Here is a 24,630-nt window from a genome sequence, read left to right as displayed (position 1 = left end):
CAAAGGGCTGGGATTACAGGCGTGAGCCACTACGCTGGGCCCATACTTTTTTTTTTCTTTTTTAACTAAAGGCTTTATTTAGAGTTTGAAATGAGTCAAAGCAGACTTGGAGGAAACATGTCCTGGGATAGCTGCGCTGTTATCAGTGTCCCACAAACGAGCCAGAAGATGAGCCCTGGCAGAGCACCTGGAGCGTGGGAGTCCTGCTCACATCCTGGATGGTCACCACACCTTTCTCTGCCTCAGTTTGCTTATCTCTAAAATGAAGGGTTAGACTAGTAGAATTCTGAAGCCTTTTAAGAGTTATGGTTTGTTCCTCTATTTTATACTCCTTTAAAAAAAAAAGGGGAAAGTGTGTGTGCATATCTGTCTATGTCGTATGTGTATGTGTTTCCTTAGGGCCAGAAGTAAGGTTGAATCAAGGGAGTTGGGGAGGAGATGGAGATGAAGTAACAGAAAAACTTAACAGCTAATCTGCACGTTAAGTGATCGCTCCTGGCATATACTGTTCTACTTATGATTGGGCTCCAGCCCAGTCTCTCTGGCTACTTCTCACATAGCTCTCCTCCTACTCCAAAATTTGAGTGCTCAGCTATATCGAGCTGCTGAGTTGTAACTTTGCCCCTCAGCCATCTGGAAGGGCTATTTTTATACAAGTTGTAGCCACGTCTCTCTACCTCCAAGCATCAGATGGCTACCCAGAAGCTTGAGGAACTAGGCCATCCTTCCAATTATGATGATGACTAAAACACTTTTGAACAGGTGGAAGAATAGAAATGCCTTGAGTTTATATTTTGTGACACCTCGCTTACTGAGAAGTCACTTATCCAGCCATTTAAACTATCTGGATCACAGTTAAGAACAGAAAACATGCCAAAAAATAAAGATCCCTGTCACAGATGTCACCAAGTCCATTCACTAAAGGCTCGGGTCTTCTCCCAAGGCCTCTTGACTCCTGTTTTAGACACAATTCTAACATGTGGGGTGATCTGGTTTCTGACTCTTATGAAATTGGAAGTAGAACATGAAAGGGAAGAAGACAATTTGTAGAGGCAGATATACTGAAAATATTCTTTTTTTTTCAGAGAGGACAGAGAAAACTATAAAAAGCAGACAAAGTAAATCAAAAGAACAGTAGATGGGGACAACTGTATCCTGTAGGTACATAAATAATCCTGTATTAAACCACAGTAGTTTCTGTATATATCAAATAAAAATTGATAAGCCTAATGATATTCCTGATTCATTTAGAAAGAGGGCCCATTATCATCAGTAATGTATCATGGTTCAGTGTTTAAAAGCTCAGATTCTCCACCAAGCGCAGTGGCTCACGCCTGTAATCCCAGCACTTTGGGAAGCTGAAGCGAGTAGATCACTTCAGGTCAGGAGTTCAAGACCAGCCTGGCCAACATGGCAAAACCCCGTCTCTACTAAAAATGTAAAATTTACCCAGCATGGTGGTGCACGCCTGTAATCCCAGCTACTTGGGAGGCTGAGGAAGGAGAATCACTTGAACCCAGGAGGAGGAGGTTGCAGTGAGCCGGGATCATGCCACTGCACTCCAGCCTGGGCTTCAGAGGAGACTCCTTCTCAAAAAAAAAAAAAAAAAAAAAAAGTTCAGATTCTGGGCAAAAATACCTCAATTTAAATCCCAGCTCAGCTGTTTATTAGCTGTGTGGTCTTAGGCAAGTCACTTAATACCTCTGTGCCTCAATTTTCTCATTTGGAAAATGGAGATAATAGTATTTACCTTGCAGAATGGTTATGAGGATTAAATAAGTTAATGTACATTAAACCTTCAGAACAGTTCCTGGCACATAATATCATTATTTGGTATATTTCATTAAAAAAGAAAGGGAGCCTGGGCACGTTGGCTCATGTCTGTAATCCCAGCACTTTGGGGGGCCAATGCAGGTGGCTCGCTTGAGCCCAGGAGTTTGAGACCAGCCTAGGCAACATGGCCAAACCATGTCTCTATGAAAAACACAAAAATTAGCTGGGCGTGGTGGTGTGCAACTGTGGTCCCAGCTACTCAGGAGACTGAGGTGGAAGGATCTCTTGAGCCCTGGAAGTGGAGGTTGCAGTGAGCTGAGATCCTGCCACTACACTCCAGCCTGGGTGACACAGCAAGACTCTGTCTCAAAAAAAAAGAAAAAAAGAAAAGGAGCGATACATTTTCAAACAAAATTATTTAAAATGCCAAGAGAAAAACTAAAGGAGTTTAAAAAATAAAACTTATTTTCCTAAAATATTCCATGAATGGATTTCAGATAATGGCCAAACGTTATACTCTATTTTGATGCTTGGAAAGGTAAAATTTTTAATTATTTAAAAATAGTTTAAAATAGCATATTTTAAGATATGCTAGAAAGACTTTTTCCACAAACAGCCATCTTAAGTTTCCTATATAAAGACATAGTTTTGAAGAATATACAAACATCAAGACAGAATCAGAAAACTTAAGATTTTCTGATTAAAAAGTCAAGGTCAAGAATGATGTCAATTTCTTTTGTTATTTCTTTTAATCCTCTTAACCACCCTGTGAGGTAGGCAGGATGTGTCATGTCTCCATTTTACAGAGGAAAAATGTCTCAGAGATTCAAAAATAAGGCTCAAATTTAAACAGCTCATTTTATAAGAAGCTACTTTATTTGATCTTTAGTTTTCACATTTATGAAATGGTGATAATAACATTCACTTCACAACATGTGTTAGGATTAAATGATATATCATACGTAAAGCTCCTTGTTTTTCTTCTCCCCATCACTGTTCTCTTGACAAATGTATTTCATTTAAAATCACCTCATTACCTGCCCACTCTCCTGCAGTGTTTGTTTTTATAACCTGGTAGTTTTGCCTTAATTTGTTTGCAGCCTAGTAGGTAACTTGTTTTCCCAAAGAAAGTTTCTGTGGATATATTAATTGTTGCCAACAATTGTTGCCAACAAACAGAAGTATTCAGTTGCTAGAAACTCATTTGCCTATAGTTCTCTTTATAGCAAATTACTTGCATATAATCTTTTCTCTTTGAAGCCATGTTAACTACTATTAGAGCACTAGGTAAGACTAAAATTTTTCCTTAACAAGTAGGGTATTTCATTTCCCACTTGCTAACAAATGAAAAATACAGTATTTTTGGCCCTACGCTAGTACTTTAACAGTAATCCTGACAGGCATTCTAGTCTCTGGTCACAGTGAATTTCTTATTCTCCTGCAGATCTACCAAGTCCAAAGCAGTTTCCTTGCCACTGCACAGCCTGTTCCCTCTGCTTGGAACGCCCTACTCCATTTCCTACCTTGCAAACGCCTTCAAGTGCCAGCTTAAATGTCACTATGAAGTCTTTCCTGACTCCTCTAAAACGTTGAGTCAAGAAAAATATTGAAATATTGTTTACTCAGATATTTTATTATCCTATTTCTGAAAAGCTTTACCACCCTCAACCTAACTTCTGCTTTTCTTAAGATCTCTGGACAGCTTCCACATCTTCTTACTGACTCAGGGAAAATGAGCTGACTCAACAAAAAGGTGATGAGATTCTAGAAAGAGCTGGCTGGCTGGCTGGCTGGCTGGCCGGCCGGCTGCAAACCAGCCAGCAAGAAGTTTGCAATCTGTTAGCCTTTACGGGGTTAGTTCTCCTGCTCCCTTTAAAGGAGACTAAAAGAAGGAAAGTGGATGAGAAAGAAAAAAGTTTCTGAATTCTTTTACTGACATTGCTTCCAGTGAATTTGCCTTGTCACGTTCGTATTATTAATGATAGTCCTAAGGTATGTTATTCTTTGAAGTTTATGAAGTTGTTTATTTTCATCAGGGTAATTACTTGTGCTGCTTACCAAATGTTTCCAGCCCTCCCCCGTCGAGGCACATGATAGGATCTGACCTCCATGGCCTGGGCTAAGGCCATGTGCTGGTAGCTCTGGCCAATGAGTTGTAAGCAGAAGTGACACATGTCATTTCAGGCTGAAATTATCCAACAGTCTGTGCAATGCCAACAGAACTCTCTTTCCCTTTGCCATGGCAAATAGCCACTTTCAAGATGATTGATCACCTTAGGTCCTGGAGTGAGAAGATACGGCATGGAACCCTAGCCACCTTTTGTTGGACCCATAGCATAAGTGAGAAATAAACTTTTCTCCCAATATTTTATCGTGAAAAATGTTGAAATGTATAGAAAAGTTGAAAGACTTGCATAACACACATTCCCATATCTATCACCTGAATTTCACAGTTAACATTTTGGTATATTTGCTTTATCCCTTATCTGTCCTTTATGTTGTATCAATCTGCTTTTTTGGGGTGGAGAGATGAACAAGAAACTATTCTATAAACCATCACTAAGATTCTGGGGTTGTTCATTACTTCAGCATAACCTTGCCTTTCCTGATCCACATCTGGGGAATCCAGACCACCTACTCTCCTTTTCTGCTGAAGACAGTAAAGTAAAACTTCTCCAAAAAGAAAAAAGTAATGGTCTGAAGTTGGTTCTAAGAAATCATTTCCTGCCAGAGAAAGTTAGAAGTCACAATATGGATTAGGAGAAGGATTAAACCATCTTTTTTTCCTTCCATGGTCTTAAAAAATAAGATAAATTATGACTGACCTAGTTTTGATAAGGCTGTATTTGGAGGTAGAGAGATGAATTAAATGAGGAAAGGAAAGACAAAATTAGCATTCATTGACTATCTTTTGTATGGCAGACATTTTATATATATGATCTCATTTAATTTTCAAAATCATCCTGAAGAGTACATATGATTTCCATTTTTAAAATGAGGCTATTAAGCTCAGAGAGGTTAGGCTACCTGCCCAAGGTCATATAGCTATTGTGAGCAGAGGAGACAGAATGAAAATCCAAATCAGTATGACTTCAACACGCTTACCCTCATCTAGAAGTTTATAGACCCTTGGCCTCTGACAGCCAAGGGTATTTCCTCCCTCTGAAATGACCATCCCAAGGGAGACCGTGGCCCAAGAGGTAACAATGGTGTTAGTGGCAACCTCCCTTCATGCTTGAAGCAGAATTTGAAATGTCCAAATTATTTGACAAAAATATTTTTTGAATGTTCAGAAAAGTTCAACAAGCCCACTAAACAAAGGAGCATTGTGAATTTCCCAAAACTGAAACAGCTGATTTTTCCTTTACCTTTATCAGATAGTCACTTTCTTTGACAAAACATATATTTTAAAATACTAATGTTTTTTCCAACTCAAAACCCAGTTGGAATCTTGATCTTTTCCCAGTTTATTTTTTATGCTTGTGTTTGGTGTGAAGTAGATCTATATAATGTGTATATGAGTGTGTGTGTGTGTGTGTGTGTGTGTGTTCGTAAGGTCCTTAATTTCCCCAAATCTAGATGGTTACACTTTGAAATGTAACTCATATGGCCACACTGAGAGTCTATTTTCAGAATTTTCATGGCTACAAGCTAATGATTTTGGATTCCTATTGTTAGTCGAAAAATAATGGGTATGGTAGACATAACTTTAAATCATCAGGCTTCCACTCAGAGAGTTTATTGTGGGCTAGATAGCTACTGCTTGACAGGGTAGGAGGGGATAGCTAACCAAATTTGCCTGAAAAGACAACGTAAGTACCTATATAGGTAATGGGAATTTGTCCTCACCCTATAGAAACAATCTAACCCTGAATGACAAGTTTCTTCAAATAATTGAACACAGACTATCTTTAACTTTTCTATAGCATTTCACCTTTCCCTGGAGATTTTTATAAGATTAAAGCCTTAAAATAAAGCTTGGATACACTCAAAAAGGTAGCAGGAGGGAGCTTTCTGGGGCGATGGAACTGTTCTGTATCCTGATAGCGGCAGTGGTTGAATGAATCTATACATGTATTAAAACCCATATGGCTGTACACACACGTGCACATGCACACACATGCACACATACCTCTGGTGGACATCTGCTGCCTAAAGGTTCTGCCTTTCTTTCTTTTCTTTTCTTTTCTTTTCTTTTTTTTTTTTTTTTGAGACAGGGTCTTGCTCTGTAACAGCCCATGCTGGAGTGCAGTGGTGCGATGTTGGCTCACTGCAGCCTCAACCTCCCAGTCTCAAGTGATCCTCTCACCTCAGCCTCCCAAGTATTTGGGACCACAGGCGGCCACCACCACATCCAGCTAATTTTTGTAGAGATGGGTTTCACCATGTTGCCCAGGCTGGTCACGAATATTCTGCCTTCTGATCAAAAGCCTAATCCACATTTACCATTGTCTCTGCAAAATCCCTTAAGATTGATTGTATGAAGACATTGCTTTGGCCAATGTGGTCCTTGGCAGTTCTGCATTGTGTAGAACCTGTGAATCTTTTTGGAGCTTGTCTATCTTGGGAGGGAGATTGTCTGAGCAGACTTGAAGGCAGGGGTGGAAGCCACCTGCTGAAGACAATAATGAGCATTTGGGAGGGTGGGTGGGGAAAATGAGACAGCGCAGAGGGGAGGGGCCTGGAAGGGATCCCACTCCCTCGCTCCTGCCTGCATCTGGTGCCCCAGGAGCTGCTCTTGAGCAATGTCTCTCTAATGAGTTGGCGTGAACTTGTGCTTGTTCCTCCCTCAGGGAACAAGGGAAGACAGGCTTAAAGCTGCTAAAATGCTTGGAGAACATCCAAAGAGAAGCTTGACAGAAATGCAGTGTATTAGTGAAAACAGCTTGGGCCTGGCTAAATAGTGGCTATTTTAACAAAACAAACATATGGGATTTGATGACAATTGTCCTTACAAAGAAACAATCTAGCCCTTTACACAGAGCTTGATGCTTCTTTATAGTCTTCACAGAATTCGCTTCGCTGTGGTTTTCTTTTCTTTTTTTTTTTTTTTTTTGAGACAGAGTCTCGCTCTGTCACTCAGGCTGGAGTGCAGTGGCACAATCTCAGCTCACTGCAACCTCTGCCTCCCAGCTTCAAGTGATTCTCTGCCTCAGCCTCCCAAGTAGCTGGGACTACAGGTGCACCACTACCACAGCCAGCTAATTTTTGTATTTTTAGTAGAGATGGGGCTTCACCATATTGGTCAGCTGGTCTCGAACTCCTGACCTCAAGAGATCTGCCTGCCTTGGCCTCCCAAAGTGCTGGGATTACGGGCGTGAGTCACTGCACCTACCCAACTGTGGTTTTCTCAAACTTATTCTGGTATCTATTTATTTTCAGGAGTGCCTGGAACAACGACCCCAAGAGATCTCTCTTACATATGAATGTGAAGAATAAGCACATTCTTCAATGTGTGCCATCATGAGGAACAAATGTTCTTTTTTTTTTTTCCAAATTATTTGCTTTGCATTCTAGGGGAGGGCTTCTCACAGGCCATCAGAATTATCGGGGATGCTTGTTAAAATGTAGATTCCTAAACTCTACCTTTTTAGACCTCTTAAATTGAGCAAACTCTCTGAGAGTAAATCCAAAGCATCTGCATTTTATTAAGCACTTTAGGTGATTCTTATCATATTAAAGTTTGGAAAACACTACCCAAGGGTTTACTCACTGTACTCCTTCTTATTAAAGTTCAGTTATTCATTCAATAAGCATTCATGTGCCAGGTCCCGTGGGGGCAGGAGATGGCAATAGGAGTGTGATAAGTAATCAAGTTGTTTATAGCCAAATAATTACAATAAAATGAGGCAAGTGCTATACTAGAAAAAATACAAAATACATCAAAGCATTGAGGAGGAGTCTGTGGGAATTGGAGGCAGCTTCATAGATGATATTTGAGCTGCTTTCAGGCACAGAGAAGGTACTGCAGGATATTGGCATGTGAAAATACATGATCCACTCTGGAAGAAGAAACTCTGTGTGGCTGGAGCATAGGGAAGAGAGAGGCATGGGCTGGGGCAAGGCTATGAGGAGCCTTCTACACATGCTGAGCAGTTTAAGTTTAGTTCTACAGAAAGTGGGAACCAGAGGAAGTTTTTAAATATTAAATGATAGAATGATATTTGAGTTATGAAGCAATATTCCTGGAGGCAGTTTGGAGGCAGGAGATAAGAACAGAGTCTTCTGCAGTGGTGAGGGGTGGGGAAGCTAAATAAGGATGATGGCAGCTGGGGTCTCTGAGGTGGAGTAACAGATGATGAGAGTACAGGAGGGTAGGAGGAGGTGGGAAGCTGACCATGTCTGATAAAGGCTAGTCTGAGTCAAGAACCTCATCCAGGGAGGGCATTTTCAATAGCCAGACAACTCTTCCAGCTCAGAATCTGAAAGCAGACCTGATACTTGCGCTTATGAGCAAATCCTAGTGTCTGCGCCCATTAGCAATAGTTTCTACTGTGCTAGAGAATAAGTTTAAAGATATTTGTTAAGTGAAAAACATCACCCATAAAATATATGATTAAATGATTCCATTTATGTTTTCAAAATGTTAAGCGCATAGAGAGAGAGACAGAAAAAAAAGGGGGACAGAGAGAGGCTGAAATTTGAGGAAATGCAGAGGAAAGGCACTATTAATAAGGAAGAACAGTGGGGTTGGGAGAGACTGGAATTGAAGGACCCTTGACAATTTACTCTGAATTCTTGTGCATGTTTCAATTGTTTTAAACAATGAGTTTTATTGATGCTTGCTTTTAAAATTTTTTAAAGCAATTTTTAAAAAGATGCTTACACATCTTCTTGGCTACCACTAGGTGGTACTAGTGGCAGGACAGATTGGACAGCTTTTAAGCTTCCTGCGTTCATCCATGACACCTGCATATCCATCGAATTTTAGACACCTGCATGTGGGTTTAACTTCTTAACTTTATAGAGTAAAACAAATACCTTTGCCAATTATTATTAGCATGTGTCTTCAGAGCTTAGGGGTCGAGGTCCACAGACTATTTTTCTTTCTCCTTCAATATAACACGTAGTATTTTCTGTATTTAATTTGTATCAAAACATTTGCAAGTGTAAAAAAGTGTTCTTTCTGCATCAATCTAAGCTGCACACAGTTTGGTTCACATATATCTAGATATTTCTCAGGCTCTTCACTTTACAATGATATTCCCAATCCAAATCTTAATCACATGCACAAAAAGAATGAAACTCTGTGCTGGCACCATACACCTGTTTTCCCTAATTCCAAGACTGGCTTTTCTTTCCAACCACTTACTTTTAATTATTTTAGGCTGTCATGTTTTCCATCACCTCGGTTGACATGGCAGGAGACAAAAGTGTTGCCACAGCCTCTTTCTACACACACCCATGTTTATTGCAACCCATGATAATGCAGCATTTGTGATTTCACTTCTGGGGGCTTTTTTTCCTTTTAAGCAGGGTTTGTTGCTTCTTATATCATGGAATAGTCTGAACTAGCTACTGTATTTTCCTTTGTATGAAAACAACACTTCATTCCAAAATGGGATTCCCAATACTGGAGTTTCCATAGTCTAAAATGGACACAGTGACAACACTCACATGATCTACTAAGGATACCCACGGGGCCAGCCTGGCACACACAACGCTACTCAGTCCTAATAGGTGCAAAGCCAAGAGGTGCCTGCAGTGGCTCTGACTTGGCTAAGACATGCTCCTGGTTGTAATCCTCACAGAGTATAGCATGATTCTTCACCCCCTTACCCCACCCCACCCCAAACTCCGTCACCTCCAGCAGGGGCAGTTTGCAGAGTCAGTCTTTGGATGGAACCCAAGAAGAAATTGACCAAGGTATACAGTTGTATTTGACATTCCCTGAGTGGTCACTTGAGCCACCAATAAATACTAGAGAAGAAAGTCAGGAACATTCCATGCATAGGATATTAGCTATTAAATGGATATTAGCCACTATCCATCATTAATAATAATAAAGACTTTTTTGTTTGTTTATTTGTCTTTTGAGACAGAGTCTTGTGCTGTTGCCCAGGCTGGAGTGCAGTCGTGCCATCTCAGCTCACTGCAACCTCCGCCTCCTGGGTTCAAGAGATTCTCATGCCTCAGCCTCCTGAGTAGCTGAGATTACAGACGCCCACGACCACGCCCAGCTAATTTTTGCATTTTTAAGTAGAGATGGGTTTTCACCATGTTGGCCAGGCTAGTTTCAAACTCGCGACCTCAGGCGATCTGCCCACCTCAGCCTCCCAAAGTGCTGGGATTACAGGCGTGAGCCACTGCACCTGGCCATGAAGACTACTGTTTACTTGAACTGTTGCTATTTGCCAAGCCCTGTGCTAAATTCTTCATATATTTTCTCTTACTCAATTTATTCAACCGCCCTGAAAAGTAGCATTGTTGCTACCATTTTACAAATGTGAAAACAGGGACTTGGAAAGGTTCAAGCAACAGGTTCAGGCTTATCTATTTTCAAACCTGTCTTCTTAATTCCTATCCTATTTTGAAGACAGTTAAGGGCTCTAATTGTTCAGAGATTTTTGCATATCACCATTTAATAGACTGCTGAGGACCTTACTTTTTCCCCCCTTATCCCCTAGTTCACTACCCTTTTCAAAGGACAGAGACAAGGTCAAAGAAAAAAAGTAAATGTAAACCTATCCATATGCTTTGTACTGACATTCAGCCTTAGTTATACATTTATTTGAATACAAGAACTATGCTTTTCTATTACATTTGTCTCCCTTCAGCACCTCCCATAATGTTCCGCCCACAGCAGTTTCTTAACACTCTGTTGCTTCAGTAACTGGCTGGCCCCTTGTTCACATTTGGGGTTGAGAAGGTTAGTGATGGGATATAAATCAAAATTTGTGTTTTTGTGTAGGTCAGATTATTTTGACCATCTGATTTCCCTTACCATGAATCTCTGAAAATTAAAAGTAAATTGACTCCAAATTTAAATATTATTTTATTAGATGAGTCTAATTTTATTAGCTGAGTCTCATTTTATTGTTTTGAGAAAAATTAATCAAGAGTGCTTGGGGTTGAAAGTAGTAAACAAGAATAAATCTGTCACAACCTTCTCTTTTCTAAGAACTATGAGCTGGAACTTGTTTTCATGATATAATTAGGTAGGGATTTCTGTGACTTAATTTAAAAGCCTGATTTATAATCACTTTTATTTTCAAAACAGTTTTTTTTCCACTTTCTCTCTCTCTGCCACCCCTGAATGAACCTGGCTCTGCTTCTCCAAATTCAATGATGTCAGGTTAGCAGGGAGCAAATTTGAGACTGCACAATTCCCATCAGCTATTAGCTAGGGAGATCTTTTGATCCCCAAGGTCTAAGTTCAATTCTAAAGGCTATGTTTTCTTTTGGACCTATGTGGTAACTCCTATTAACAGTAATGGGTGTTACACATGAACGTACAGAAGACTGTATACCCCTAAGATTTGCCCAAGCATGAATTTCATGAGGCAAAAGTGAACACATTTTTTTTACTTTGGCACCCTTCCCTTCCAGGTTACGATAAATGTTGGCACTTGGATAAGATTCTAAATGATGAAATGCCAATGCATGTTGCTTCTGCATATGTCATCTAAAGTATGTGGCTTCTCAAAATGGATGCCCTTCTTCTCTGCTCAATGCTTGGCCTGGCAAGCCATTGTAACCCTGACAGAGAGGAGAAAAGACATTTCTAAACAAATATTTTCCTTTTCAGATATCATACAGCTTGTGTCAGTGAGTGAGATAAACCCAGTCCTAATGTGCTAGTCTGAAATGCTTGTATCCCAGTCTACTTTCCATTGATTTGATCAATATCAGATACTCTGATATCCTGAAATGAAAAACAGGTGTGAAAAAAAGAGGACTGAAATATGAATAACAAACTGTTCAAGACGAGACAGCCAGTTCTAGAGAGCTGGCCCCACTTGCCTAAGAGGTGTGTACCAACGCCAAATAAGCCAAAGTAAGAGGCAGACTTGTTTGTATAGTATTTAATAGGCCCCAGAGGGAAAGGGAAGCCTGCTGAAACAATTTTTTTTTTTTACTTCAAAAAATACCTGGCACATAATATGTACAAATGAAACGATCTTGCTTAATTTGTTTTAGGTTCTTTATTTCACGTAACTCATGATTTAGAAAGGTCTCTAAAATGTGATGATTATAAGAACATTCATCTGCCAAGACTCTTAAAATATATTCTAACAGCTTTAATCCTGTTGCAGATAGAGCTATCAGTAGCAGCAATTAGCATGTATTTAAATTCAATAATTTCTGCATAAAAAGGACTTTACTGACATTTATAAATTCTTCCTCTGACAAAGGGGTGAGAAAGAATGTGATTAATAGTAAGATGAAGATTCTTTAATTTCTTCTGAAATTATTTTTAAGGACATAAACAACTTGCCCTTTTCTTTGCTAGTATTAACCTACAAAACACAAAAAATCAACTCATGGTTACCTTTTCAATACTGTTGGCCTCAATTCCTGACTCAGGAAATAATATAAAGCAGTTCAACTGGTTTTGTCTTGCTTGAGAAACTAAAATTAAAATCTCTGGAGTTATTTAACTTTAAACAGGAAAGAATGTGGTCTTTCAGAAATAGTCATACAGACAGTTTTCCAAATGTGTAAACCTCTTAAACTTAGTACCAATCTAAAAAAGAAAATAAAAGGAAAAAAAGGTCCTTAAAAAAAGTGCATGTGTTTTGGGTTTTTTTGTTTTTGTTTTTACATCTTTCTCTAGTTGCAACTGGAAACCGTAGGTTTTATTCTCATCTTTCAGCTACTGGCATGTCATAATCTCCTCTAGTGAATGACTACCTAAATTACTATATCCATAAATATTCTAGTGGAAAAACATTTGCAAGGCTTATTTTCAGAAGTACACTGCAGTATCTTGATGTTGACCAAATTCAATTTTATTTTTCTGTATTATAACTAACAATTTCAAGGTGTTATTTTATACATCAAAACTCCAAAAGTATGACAGAAAGGAGCTTATACATATGCTAAATAAACCAGTATTGCAGTGTAGCATGGAAAAAAAAAAACTACCCAATGATGGTGAATTCTGTTTCTTTATGCTACCCAATAGTGGTAGTCAGGCAGCCTCTAGCATTTATTCTTGGCTAGGAAAAGTGATGTTTTGGAAAATAAAATTTGGGCAAATGTATGTTATACTGGCTCTCGACACATTCAATCTCTTTTTGTTTTTTAGAAATCATAAGTCATAGTCACCAAATCATCAAATTTTTAGCTTCTAAAGAATTGCACTGGGTGTTTGTCAAAGTTAACTGAGTTGAAATCAACATGGCTAGTTCTGGTTTATTTCTTGGATTCTTCTAATCACAAATTATCTGATCAAATGAGTAAATGCACAATATTAACTGAATGCTAGAATGAGTAAATTGCTCAAACATTGTATTAACCATTATACAACATTCTATATTAGTCACTGATGAATGTATGACTGGGAGGAGTATTATGTTTCAGCCAATAAGTCCTTATTGAGTGCCCTCTATAAACTGAGGAGGTAGGACAGGAGAGGAGATCACAAAATAATTCCTAGACTACCTTACCAGTAACAACTATTGAAAAAAATTATAAAAGTAAAATCACAATAAAAAAGCAAATCTATTATCTGCATGGCCAGGCGTGATGGCTCACACCTGTAATCCTAACACTTTGGGAGGCCAAGGCAAGGGAATCGCTTCAGTCCAGGAGTTCGAGACCGGCCTGGGCAACATGGGAAAACCTCATCTCTACTAAAAATACAAAAAATTAGCCCAGCATTGTGGCACACCCCTGTAGTCCCAGCTTCCTAGAAGGCTGAGATGGGAGGATCACTCAAGCCTAGGAGGTCAAGGCTGCAGGGAACCATGACTCTGCCACTGCACTCCAGGCTGGGCGACAGAGTGAGACCCTGTCTCAAAAAATAAAATATAAAAAAATTACCTGCTTAATGGAGAAATCTGTTTTATTTACCTTGTTGCTTTCAGTCTTCATTGTTCTTATTAAATTCCATTTTCTAATCCATCTATAGGAACAATTTGAAGCTTACTAAGTAAGTGTAGATCTAACTAATTGAAGTGTTAGCATTACCAACAAATTATTTGTCATTGCACATCCTGGAAACAAAGAGCTAACATTTGGGAAGGGTGGGTGTCTCAGTAATATACACAATCCACTCTATCTTCACACATATATCAATCTAAAGGGGAGCAGAAATGTTTTTATCCATAAGGAATGAGACTCTTCTTTTTTTTCTTTTTTTGAGACAGAGCCTCGCTCTGCCGCCCAGGCTGGAGTGCAGTGGCGCGATCTCGGCTCACTGCAAGCTCCGCCTCCCAGGTTCACGCCATTCTCCTGCCTCAGCCTCCCGAGTAGCTGGGACTACAGGCGCCCGCCACCACTCCGGCTGATTTTTTGAATTTTTTTAGTAGAGACGGGGTTTCACTGTGTTAGCCAGGATGGTCTCGATCCCCTGACCTCGTGATCCGCCTGCCTCAGCCTCCCAAAGTGCTGGGATTACAGGTGTGAGCCACAGCGCCCGGCCGAGACTCTCCTTAAGTTGTAAATACATAGGGTTCAGATTCCAACCTCTTGGGTTCCTTTTTCTGGCTCAGCAACTTCTTCCACACATCCCCAGGGTGAGTTGCTTGGTCTCATGGAATCAGTCTCCCTGCCTGTTCAAAGGGGAGGAGGGGTAATAATGCGTTTACCACAGGGGTGTTGGTTAAATTAATTAGTATTTATTATGTGCTCCATTAAGGTCCTCAGGTGATGTATAACTTGACAGTTATATGGCACCTGATCATTGCTTTAAGTTTTGAAAACAGTCCTTGGTTTTTAAACCCATGCAAGAAACATAACAATTCTTTATGCTTCCAACAGTAGGATTAAGCATAGGAATATTTTAGCTTTTCTTACTATTTTTCTTTTTGAGATGGAATTTCCCTCTTGTTGCCCAGGCTGGAGTGCAATGGCACAATCTCAGCTCACTGCAACCTCCGCCTCCCGGGTAGCTGAGATTACAGGCACCTGCTACCACGCCTGGCTAATTTTTGTATTTTTAGTAGAGATGGGGTTTCACCATGATGACCAGGCTGGTCTCATACTCCTGACCTCAGGTGATCCACCTGACTCCACCTCCCAAAGTGCTAGGATTACAGGCGACAGCCATGGTGCCCAGACCATTTTAGCTTTTCTAAGAACAATTATTTTCCTGGGGTGAAAATATTGGCAGGTTACAAAAGCTTATTTCCTCAGCTTTAGACTATGAATAGAATAGCTTTAATTTATAGTTGATAAAAGCAGAAGGAAGAAAGTTTTATAAAAGCCATTTTAATGGCTTATTCTGCCATCTTCGGTGGCATTTTAAACTACTCACAATTGAAGGGAAATTGGTTCATCTATTTTACAATTATTTAATTCTGGCATTTAAAAGAAACCCAAGAAGTAATTTAATTGAACTCCTTTGCTTACTATAATAGTACTAAGCACCTGCTCTTCAAGACAACATTCTCGTTTTATAGATGAGGAAACCAAGGTTCAGTGAACTTAAATCACAGTGCAGAGAATCAAATCCCAGACGCCATTCTCTCTCTGCCACTTCAGACACCGCCAAGAAGTTATACTTAAAGCTGCCCTGTACAGAAAGGAATTTCTTCTCTTCTTTATCCCTATTCTCTCTCTCTCTCTTTGAACTTAGAAACTAAACCAATTTTTTTTTCTTTTTTTCTTTTCTTTTCTTTCTTTTTTTTTTTAAGAGAAGAGATCTCACCATGTTTCCCAGGCTGGTCTCGAACTTCTGGGCTCAAGCGATTCTCCTGCCTTGGCCTCTCAAAGTGCTGGGATTACAGGCAAGAGCCCCTGTCCACAACCTAAACAAAGATATTCTAATGGAATCTCAGTTTTATCCCCAGAGAGCTTATGAGTGCCCCCAAGTCATCAGTTAAAAGTTATCTTGAAAGACAAGTAGTTTAAAATCACTCTTAAAAGACACTTCTATACATTGTTATTGAAGAAACAAAAGCTACACATATCCTTTTTTTTGAGAATTAGTCCACTGAGTTTTAGTGATGTTTTAATATCAAATTAACATGAATACTATATGGTCAGAGCTTTTTCAACTTTGTATTGAAGTATGTGGTTCCCCCTTACCCGTGGGGGATATATTTCAAGACCCCCACTGGGCGCCTAAACGGCAAATAGTACAGAACCCTATAGATACTGTTTTCTGCTATACATGCATAACTTTTTGATAAAGTTTAATTTATAAACTAGGCATAGTAAGAAGTTAACAATAACAATAACAAAATAGAACAATTATAGCAATAGGCTGTAATAAAGGTTAATGTGGTCTCTCTCTCAAAATATCTTATTGTATTGTATGTTGGGCAATTGAAACCATGAAAAGTGAAACCATGGATAAGGGGGGGACTACTGTACAAACAGAAATAAAGTACACTCATTTTTTGAAATATCTAAAATCTATCCCATCTTCACTTTGTAATAAGACGAGTACATATCATTGCCATTTCATATCTCAGAGGAATGTACTATGTGTACTAAAGAACTCAAATAATGAATAAATTGGCCTACATATCTAAGAGTGCTTTGAAAGTTTAAGCTCCATATTGAAATTAAAATATTATTAGTAAAGTATTATTACAGCTATGATTTCATTTTAAGTAATAATGATACATTTTCTTATGGCTTTGGGCAGCAGGCAAAAAAGATAAAGATAATATTTAAAATTGAACCTGGGCAACATAGTGAGACCCCATCTTGAAAAAAATAAAAAACAATTTATTGGTCATGTTGGCATGTGCATGTAGTCCCAGCTACTTGGGAGACTGAGGAGGGAGAATTGATTGAGCCCAGGAGTTCAAGGTTGCAGTGAGCCAGGATCACGCCACTGCACTCCAGCCTGGGTGACAGAGACCCTGACTCTTTAAATAAAAACTTTGTAGGCACCTCTGTATGCTATCATTGTTTCTTAAAACAATGATTATAACTCACATATTGTATAGATGTGTATAAAATTTTGTCCATAAAATTTACCTCTAAATAAACTGCATAAATCATCTTTCTTGCCCATCATAGAAAAAATATGGTCTTAAAGTCCAGAAGGACCCAAGAATTTGAATAATAATTCAGAGGAGTTCATGCCAAGTTGATATCCATCTTTTCCTTTAATTTTGACTCATTTATTTCTATTTAGCATTCACTGACAACCAAATAAATGGAGACACCTTGGCTAATTCATACCACTGTTCTAAGATAGTAAATATCAGACGCCCAACTGCAGAGGCTTTATGATGCTGCTGGCGGGAACATATAAGTTACTGAAACATTCTCCCTGAGCAAAGGTTCTTCTTATTATTTTTGTTTAATTGTAGCTCATTGCACTACTCATCTCTAGAGAGTGAATCAGCTCAGCCCTACCTTTAAATTGGACAGAAGGACATAGGCCACTAAATGTCCTGCTCTACACCAAGACCCTAATTAAACAAAAACAAAATAGCCATTCCTCACATACCTCGAAAGACTAATGAGGCTTTAATCCCTATCCTCAGTGTCGATTGTAGCAGGAACAAGAGCTGAGCAGCCTTCTGGGTATTGAGTCTCAGTGGCGCAGTTCCCTCCTGGAACTGCATAGAGCTCTGGCACCATAGGGCCATAGGGCTCTGGTACTACTAGCAGAAAATACCCTGAGAAGATTCCTGAGGGACCAAATTCAGGGCTTTTTTCTGCCTGGTGAAAAACATAATTCTTCTCCATCAATCCCCTTAGGATTTTTCCTTCTCCATCAATCCCCTTAGGGTTTTTCCCCATGGAGTAACATATGACACCAAACTGACCCCACTGAAGAATGAGTTAGCTGAATGAGAAAGAAAAACAATGTCTCATAAAGTTACTGACTTTGCAACCTCAATAGTTTGAGTTTAATTTGCTATCAGAAGTTGATTAATTATAATCTTTCAGAGTCAATTCCCATTTTTACCAATATAGCCCTGAAATTGTGGCTCTAAGTTTTCAGGAAAAAAATCACATTTTTAAAGTGTATTAAATATAAATGCAGATATTAACTAAACAGATCATAAAAACTTTCTTATCTAAGGTGTTTGTTGAGAATAACTTATTTATGAAATTTACTATAATCCAATATGATGATTTATTTAAATCATTTGATTTTCTAATTTTTTTCTTTAGAGTTGAAATTTTTACACTGTCTCAGATCTACAACAAAATGTATTTACAAGGAAATACATTTTATATTTTTAAAGATGAAGTCTTGCTATGTTGCCCAGGCTGATCTCAAATTCCTGGCCTCAAGTGATCCTCCTGCCTCAGCCTCCCAAATTGTTCGGATTACAAGGGTGAGCGACTGTTCCTGGCTTACATGGAAATATTTTTAAAGGTCTGCATCTTATAAACACTTTATGGTCCCAGAACTTAAACAAACAAGCAAACAAAAAAAAATCAATTAGAAAAAGAAGATCACCTCCTTTGAGAATAAAAGTGAAAACAATTTTTTTTAAAAGAAGAAGTAACGGAGTGAAGGGTGGACAGAAATTGGAACTGATCTATTGGTCATGTAATACATTTTTCCTGCTAAATCAGACAAGAATTCTATTAGGTTGGTACAAAAGTAATTGCGGTTTTGCCCTTACTTTCAATGGCAAAAACCGCAATTACTTTTTTACCAACATAATACATCAGAAGATAAAAAGCTATTTCAATTTCCCTTAAAAATACATGCTGATACTTTAGCAACTCCCATGGTAAGAAAGTGTTTTAGTGTATCTAATAATAATAATAAAGAATAAAGGGTCATTATCTACATGGAAAACTCAAAAACTAAATTTATAGAGCAACCAAAAATAAGAATACAGAACATCTGTATGAATCTATTTCAGAAATGAAGTCTCTTGACTATTTCAAAAGAATCAGTCTCTCACACACTCACTAGGTTTCTTTAACTTCCCTAGTTACATAACTGATTCTGTGACTTGTAAACAAACAGCCCCATTGCTTGACAATTCTGGATCTGTGGGTTTGTACTGCTGTTTCCCTGTGGAGGCTGAGAGCTGCATAATGATTTATTCTTTCCCCACTCCCTGCCTTCTTTTCCTATTTTGCACTCTCTTTTTCTTTTTTTCCTTTTTGTCAAAGTCAGTTTAAAAAAATCCCAGGGAACTAAATGTGAAAACAAACCCTGGTGTTATAAAATTGAGGCCACCAATTTAAACACCGTAGGCATAAGAAGTGCAAAACTTGAGGGTCTCATAGTCAGATGAGCTCCCCATAGGGACACTGTAAGTATGTATGCAGTGTTTTTTCAGCATCCCCTGGCCTCCTAACCATATGCTTTTGTATAAGGTAGCTTTGATTCCCCTGATTTCCCACGCATGAAACACTTGCTGGCTTCAAAGAGAGCTCTGTATGCAAAAGACACATGGGGGTGTAGTTCAGGAGGAGAATGGGGATAGTAGGCAGAATGTGGGTGAACTAACATTTGAGTCTGTGTTAATTCCAGTGCTACCTTTTGCTGGTATGCCCCAGTTATAACTTTGACTGCTGGCAAACTGGAAGCTTTCTAAATTTGTTATTAAACCTAATCAATTACCTATAATTAAAATACATCTCATTCCTCCAACGAGAAGTTAGATTTCAGATTGGTTGTTAGGTTGTGAATTTATTTTTGATACTGTACATTAAGTATGATTTATAATATGAGGTCTTGCACCATGCATTTACTGTTACTGTGTTGCTGATGGAATCTTCAAGAAAATTATTATTACATAATAATTTAATGCATGTAAAGTACATATAGGATAAATTAAGTATTTTGAGTTTTAACAATTTAGAAAATAATTTGGTCATAAGTGAAGAAAGACAACAAAGCCTTTAAACATCTTCCACAATTACACAAAATGTACCACTAGTTCTCCTTTTGTGTTTGCTATTTTAGGAGATCTTTATTTCTAAATATATCCAAACCGTTTTCTCTCCCATTTATCTTCTATTCCTCCATCATTCTGGGCATTGAAAATAATTTCTATGCCAAGAAATCTCTTGAAACATTAGAGTCTAATCTACTACTGACCTTTCTTCTTCCAAGACAAAAAGAAAGAAAGAAAAGAAAGAAAGAAAGAAAGAAAGAAAGAAAGAAAGAAAGAAAGAAAAGAAACAAAAGAAAGAAAGAAAGAGAAAAAAGGCCCTTGTACATATCCTATTAGCTGCATCATGGCAGAAATAAGGATCTTTCGAAATTGCAAAAGGCATCTTTGAATGCTGTCTTTGGAGGTTTGGTGGTTTTGTCTTATTCCCAGGAATAAAAGCAATTTGTGATTCAGAGATATCTGATGATCCCTTTTACAAAATTTTATTTTTTATTTTTTTTTAGAGACAAGGTCTTGCTCTGTCACCCAGGCTGCAGTGCAGTCGCACAGTCATAGCTCACTGCAGCCTTGAACTCCTGGGCTCAAATGATTCTCCTGTCTCAGCCTTCCAAGTAAATGGTGATTACAGGCATGCATGACGATCCATTTACCTGTCTTCCCTTTTAAAAATCATTTTGTGGCCAGGCGTGGTGGCTCACGCCTGTAATCCCAGCACTTTGGGAGGCCAAGGCTAGTGGATCACAAGGTCAAGAGATCGAGACCATCCTGGCCAACATGGTGAAACCCCGTCTCTACTAAAAAAATGCAAAAGTTAGCTGGGCATGGTGGCATTGGCCTGTAGTCCCAGCTACTCGGGAGGCTGAGGCAGGAGAATCACTTGAACCTGGGATGTGGAGCCGAGATTGTGCCACTGCACTCCAGCCTGGTGACAGAGCAAGACTCCATCTCAAAAAAAAAAAAAAAAAAAATTGTTCTGGGAACATTTTTATATTGGTATATTATTTAGATTTATTTTTAAAATATATGTTCACATGTATATTTTGAATAAGAATGCCTGATTCACTCTGACATTGATCCATGTGATTCAGGTTGGAAATTCAGTTCTGTAGCCAGAAGACTAAAATAATATTCTGAAGTAAAACGGTTGCTGAGCCCAAGAAATTAAGAGGCTCTTCTGTGTTCCTCTTAGAGGCTGCAGTTGGACCTTGCCTGGTTTTTCCCTGCTAGGTTTCAAAAGGTCTGCTGGAAACAATAGAAGCATAGACCTTTAGAAGTGGAAGGGATGAAGCTTAGCCTTCATCTCTTCTAAGCTTCTCAGTTTAGAGATGAGAAAAATGCATCCCAGACAGGGACTGTGATTTTGAGAGGAGTGTTTTCTATTTTTTTCCCTTTTAGAAAAATTTTTTGGGCTGGGCGTGGTGGCTCACACCTGTAATCCCAGCACTTTTGGGAGGCCGAGGTGGGCAGATCAGTTGAGGTCAGGAGTTCGAGACCAGTCTGGGCAACATGGTCAAACCCTGTCTCTACAAAAAAATACAAAAATTAGCTGGGCGTTGTGACACGCACTGTAATCCCAACTACTTGGGAGGCTGAGGCATAAGAATCGCTTGAGCCCGGGAAGTGGAGGTTGCAGTGAGCCAAGATCATGCCACTGCACTCTAGCCTGGGCAGCAGAGTAAGACCCTGTCTCAAAAACAAAAGAAAAATTTTTTGTTAGAGTGGAGGTCTGGCTCTGTTGCCCAGGCTAAATTGCAGTGGCACGATCGTGGCTCACTGCAGCCTCAAACTTCTGGGCTCAAGAGATACTCCAGTCTCAGCCTCTAGAGTCACTGGGATTATAGGCATGAGCCACTGCACTGGGCTTTTTGCTCATTTTAAAAGGCCATTTTTAATTCAAGTTCACTTTAGCAATATTTATATCCGGCCGGGCGCAGTGGCTCACGCCTGTAATCCCAGCACTTTGGGAGGTCAAGGCGGGCGGATCATGAGGTCAGGAGATCGAGACCATCTTGGCTAACACGGTGAAACCCCGTCTCTACTAAAAATACAAAAAAAAATACAAAAAAATTAACCAGGCATGGTGGCGGGCGCCTGTAGTCCCAGCTACTCGGGAGGCTGAGGCAGGAGAATGGCGTGAACCCGGGAGGCGGAGCTTGCAGTGAACGGAGATCGCGCCACTGCACTCCAGCCTAGGCGACAGAGGGAGCCTCCATCTCAAAAAAAAAAAAAAAAAAAAAAAAAATTTATATCCTACCAATGGACTGGGACCCCAAAATGTGCTGTGATTGCTCTATCCACATGGTGGAGGAATTGGGGCAAAGTTTTAGTTTGTTCCCATGAAAGGACTAAGAAAATGCAGAGCAAAATACAGAACAAAACTTAAAGACCTGGATTTGATTCACCAACCTCTGTATTTATAAAACACATTACCTGATTTTAAGAATGCATTGATTACTTCCTTCCATAAGAAGTCTCTTATTTTTAAGAGACCAGATCTCACCATGTTGCCCATGTTCAAGTGCAGTGGCTATTCACATGCACCATCACAGCGCACTGCATCCTTGAACTCCTGGGCTCAAGCATTCTTCCTGCCTTAGCCTCCCAGTTAAGTGAGATTACACATCTGCACCACTGCACCCACCTCGGGAACCCCTTTCTCATTTTATGTCTGATAAACCAATGAGTGATCTTAATTCAAACACATTTGAAAAAGCTGAAGAGGAGAAATCAGATTCAAATAATGAATGTTAAAATACCAAAACAAGATTTAATGATGTTTAGGACTGATCTTCATCCAGCCTCTGTGAGCATTTCTGAGGGATTTGTCCTTCAAGTAAACATCCTATATTAACTGATGTTTGATACATTTTAGGACGATGAAATACGCTAACTGCTTTGAATTCAGTTTTATACATCACTCCTCCCTAATTACAGGCCTGCCATCCTCCAACTATGTTACTGTGAGAAGGACATCTATATGATGTTCTACTCAATCCATATATAGAAGCCACAACACCACAAGCAAAAATGTTTCTTTTGAAAACTGTAAGCGACTTAAAATATATACACTTGATAATTTTGAAATACACAAACCAAAATAGAGATATATTCTTAGGATATCAAAGTCTGGTGTTCCAAATTCAGAGGCCCATTTTTTTTATTCGTATAAATTTGGGGATACAAGTGTAGTTTTGATACACAGATATATTACATAGTAATGAAGTCTGGGCTTTTAGTGTAACCATCATCCAAATAGTGTATATTGTACCCATTAAGTAATTTCTCATCCCTCACTCCCTTCCCAACCCTCCCATCCTCCCAAGTCTCCAGTGTCTGTTCTTCCACACTCGATGTCAATGTGTACACATTTTTTAGCTCTCACAAATGAGAACATGTGGTATTTGACTTTCAGAGTTATTTCATTTAAGATAATGGCCTCCAGTTCCATCCATGTTTCTGCAAAAAACATGATTTCATTCTTTTTTATGGCTAAGTATATATGGTATAGATATACACCATATTTTCTTTATCCAATCATCCATTGATGGAAACAGGTTGATTCTACATCTTTGCAATTGTGAATAGTGCCACAGATACCTACAAGTGCAGGTATCTTTTTGATATAATGATTTCTTTTCCTTTGGGTGGGATTGCTGTATCAAATGAGAGTTTTATTTTTAGTTTTCTGAGAAATCTCCATACTGTTTTCCATAGAGGTTGTACTAATTTACATTCCCACCAACAGTGTATAAGTGTTCCCTTTTCCTGCCAACATGTTTTTTTTTTAAATAATAGCCATTCCGACTGACACAAGATAATATCTCATTGTGGTTTTAATTTGCATTTCTCTGATGATTAGTGATGCTGACCATTTATATGTCTCTTTCTGAAAAATGTCTGCTCATGTCGTTTGCCCCCTTTTTAATGTGGTTACTTGGTTTTTGTTGTTGTTGAGTTGTTTGAGTTCCTTGTAGATTCTGGATTAGTCCCTTGCCTGGTGCATGGTTTGCAAATATTTTTCTCCCATTGTTCAGGATTCCTGTTCACTCTGCTACTTATTTTGCAGTGCAAAAGTTTTTAATTTAATCAAGTCCCATTTGTCTATTTTTGGTTTTGTAGCATTTGCTTTTGAGGTCTTAGTCATGAATTCTTTGCCAAGGCCAATGTCTGGCAAAGTTTTTGGTTAGGTTTTCTTCTAGTATTTTTATATTTTCAGGTCTTACATTTCAGTATTTAATCAACATTAATTTTTGTATATGGTGAGAGATAGGGGTCCAGTTTCATTCTGCATATGGCAATCCACATTTTCCCAGCACCATTTATTGAATAGCATGTTCCTTTCCCAATATATGCTTTTGTCAATCTTGTTGAAGACCAGTTGGCTGTAGGTAATTGGCTTTATTTCCAAATTCTCTATACTGTTACATTGATCTATGTGTCTGTTTTTATACTAGTACCATCCTGTTTCGGTTACTCTTGCCTTGTAGTATAATTTGAAGTCCAGTAATGTGATGCGTCCAGCTTTGTTCTTTGTGCTCAGGATTAGTTTGGCTATTTGGGATCTTTTTTGGTTAATACGAATCTTAGAATTGTTTTTTTTCTAATTTTGTGAAAAATGAAGTTGGTATTTGATAGGAATTGCATTGAATCTGTAGATTGCCCTGCTTTAGACAATATGGCCATTTTAACAATATTGATTCTTCCAATCCATGAGCATGGGATGTTCCCATTTGTTTGTGTCATTTACAATTTCTTTCATCAATGTTTTATAGTTTTCCTTGCAGAGATCTTCCACCTTCTTGGTTAAATACGTTCCTAGGCATCTTGTGTGGGGTTTTTTTTTGTTTTGTTTTGTTTTTTGGAGCTATCCTGAATGGAATTGACTTCTTGATTTTGTTCTCAGCTTGGTTGT

General features: G+C 38.8%; 1 protein-coding gene and 1 long non-coding RNA gene across 3 annotated transcripts in view; one reads left to right on the top strand and one right to left on the bottom strand.

Annotated features, from left to right (window-relative positions):
• The window catches only part of CNRIP1 (cannabinoid receptor interacting protein 1), a 35,779-nt gene extending 28,310 nt beyond the window's left edge, over nt 1-7,469 (top strand). The window contains exon 3 of the mRNA NM_001111101.2: nt 7,156-7,469. Within this exon, the coding sequence (NP_001104571.1) occupies nt 7,156-7,212 (57 nt within the window). The 3' untranslated portion in view covers nt 7,213-7,469. The remainder of the gene's footprint in view (nt 1-7,155) is intronic.
• PPP3R1-AS1 (PPP3R1 and CNRIP1 antisense RNA 1) overlaps nt 1-24,630 on the bottom strand; it is a 48,404-nt gene that overhangs the window by 8,367 nt on the left and 15,407 nt on the right. The window lies entirely within an intron of this gene.

The sequence above is a fragment of the Homo sapiens genome, chromosome 2, assembly GCF_000001405.40.
Source record: "Homo sapiens chromosome 2, GRCh38.p14 Primary Assembly".
NCBI lineage: Eukaryota > Metazoa > Chordata > Mammalia > Primates > Hominidae > Homo > Homo sapiens.
Note: the sequence above shows the minus strand (reverse complement) of the source record. Positions and strands in the feature narration are given on the sequence as shown.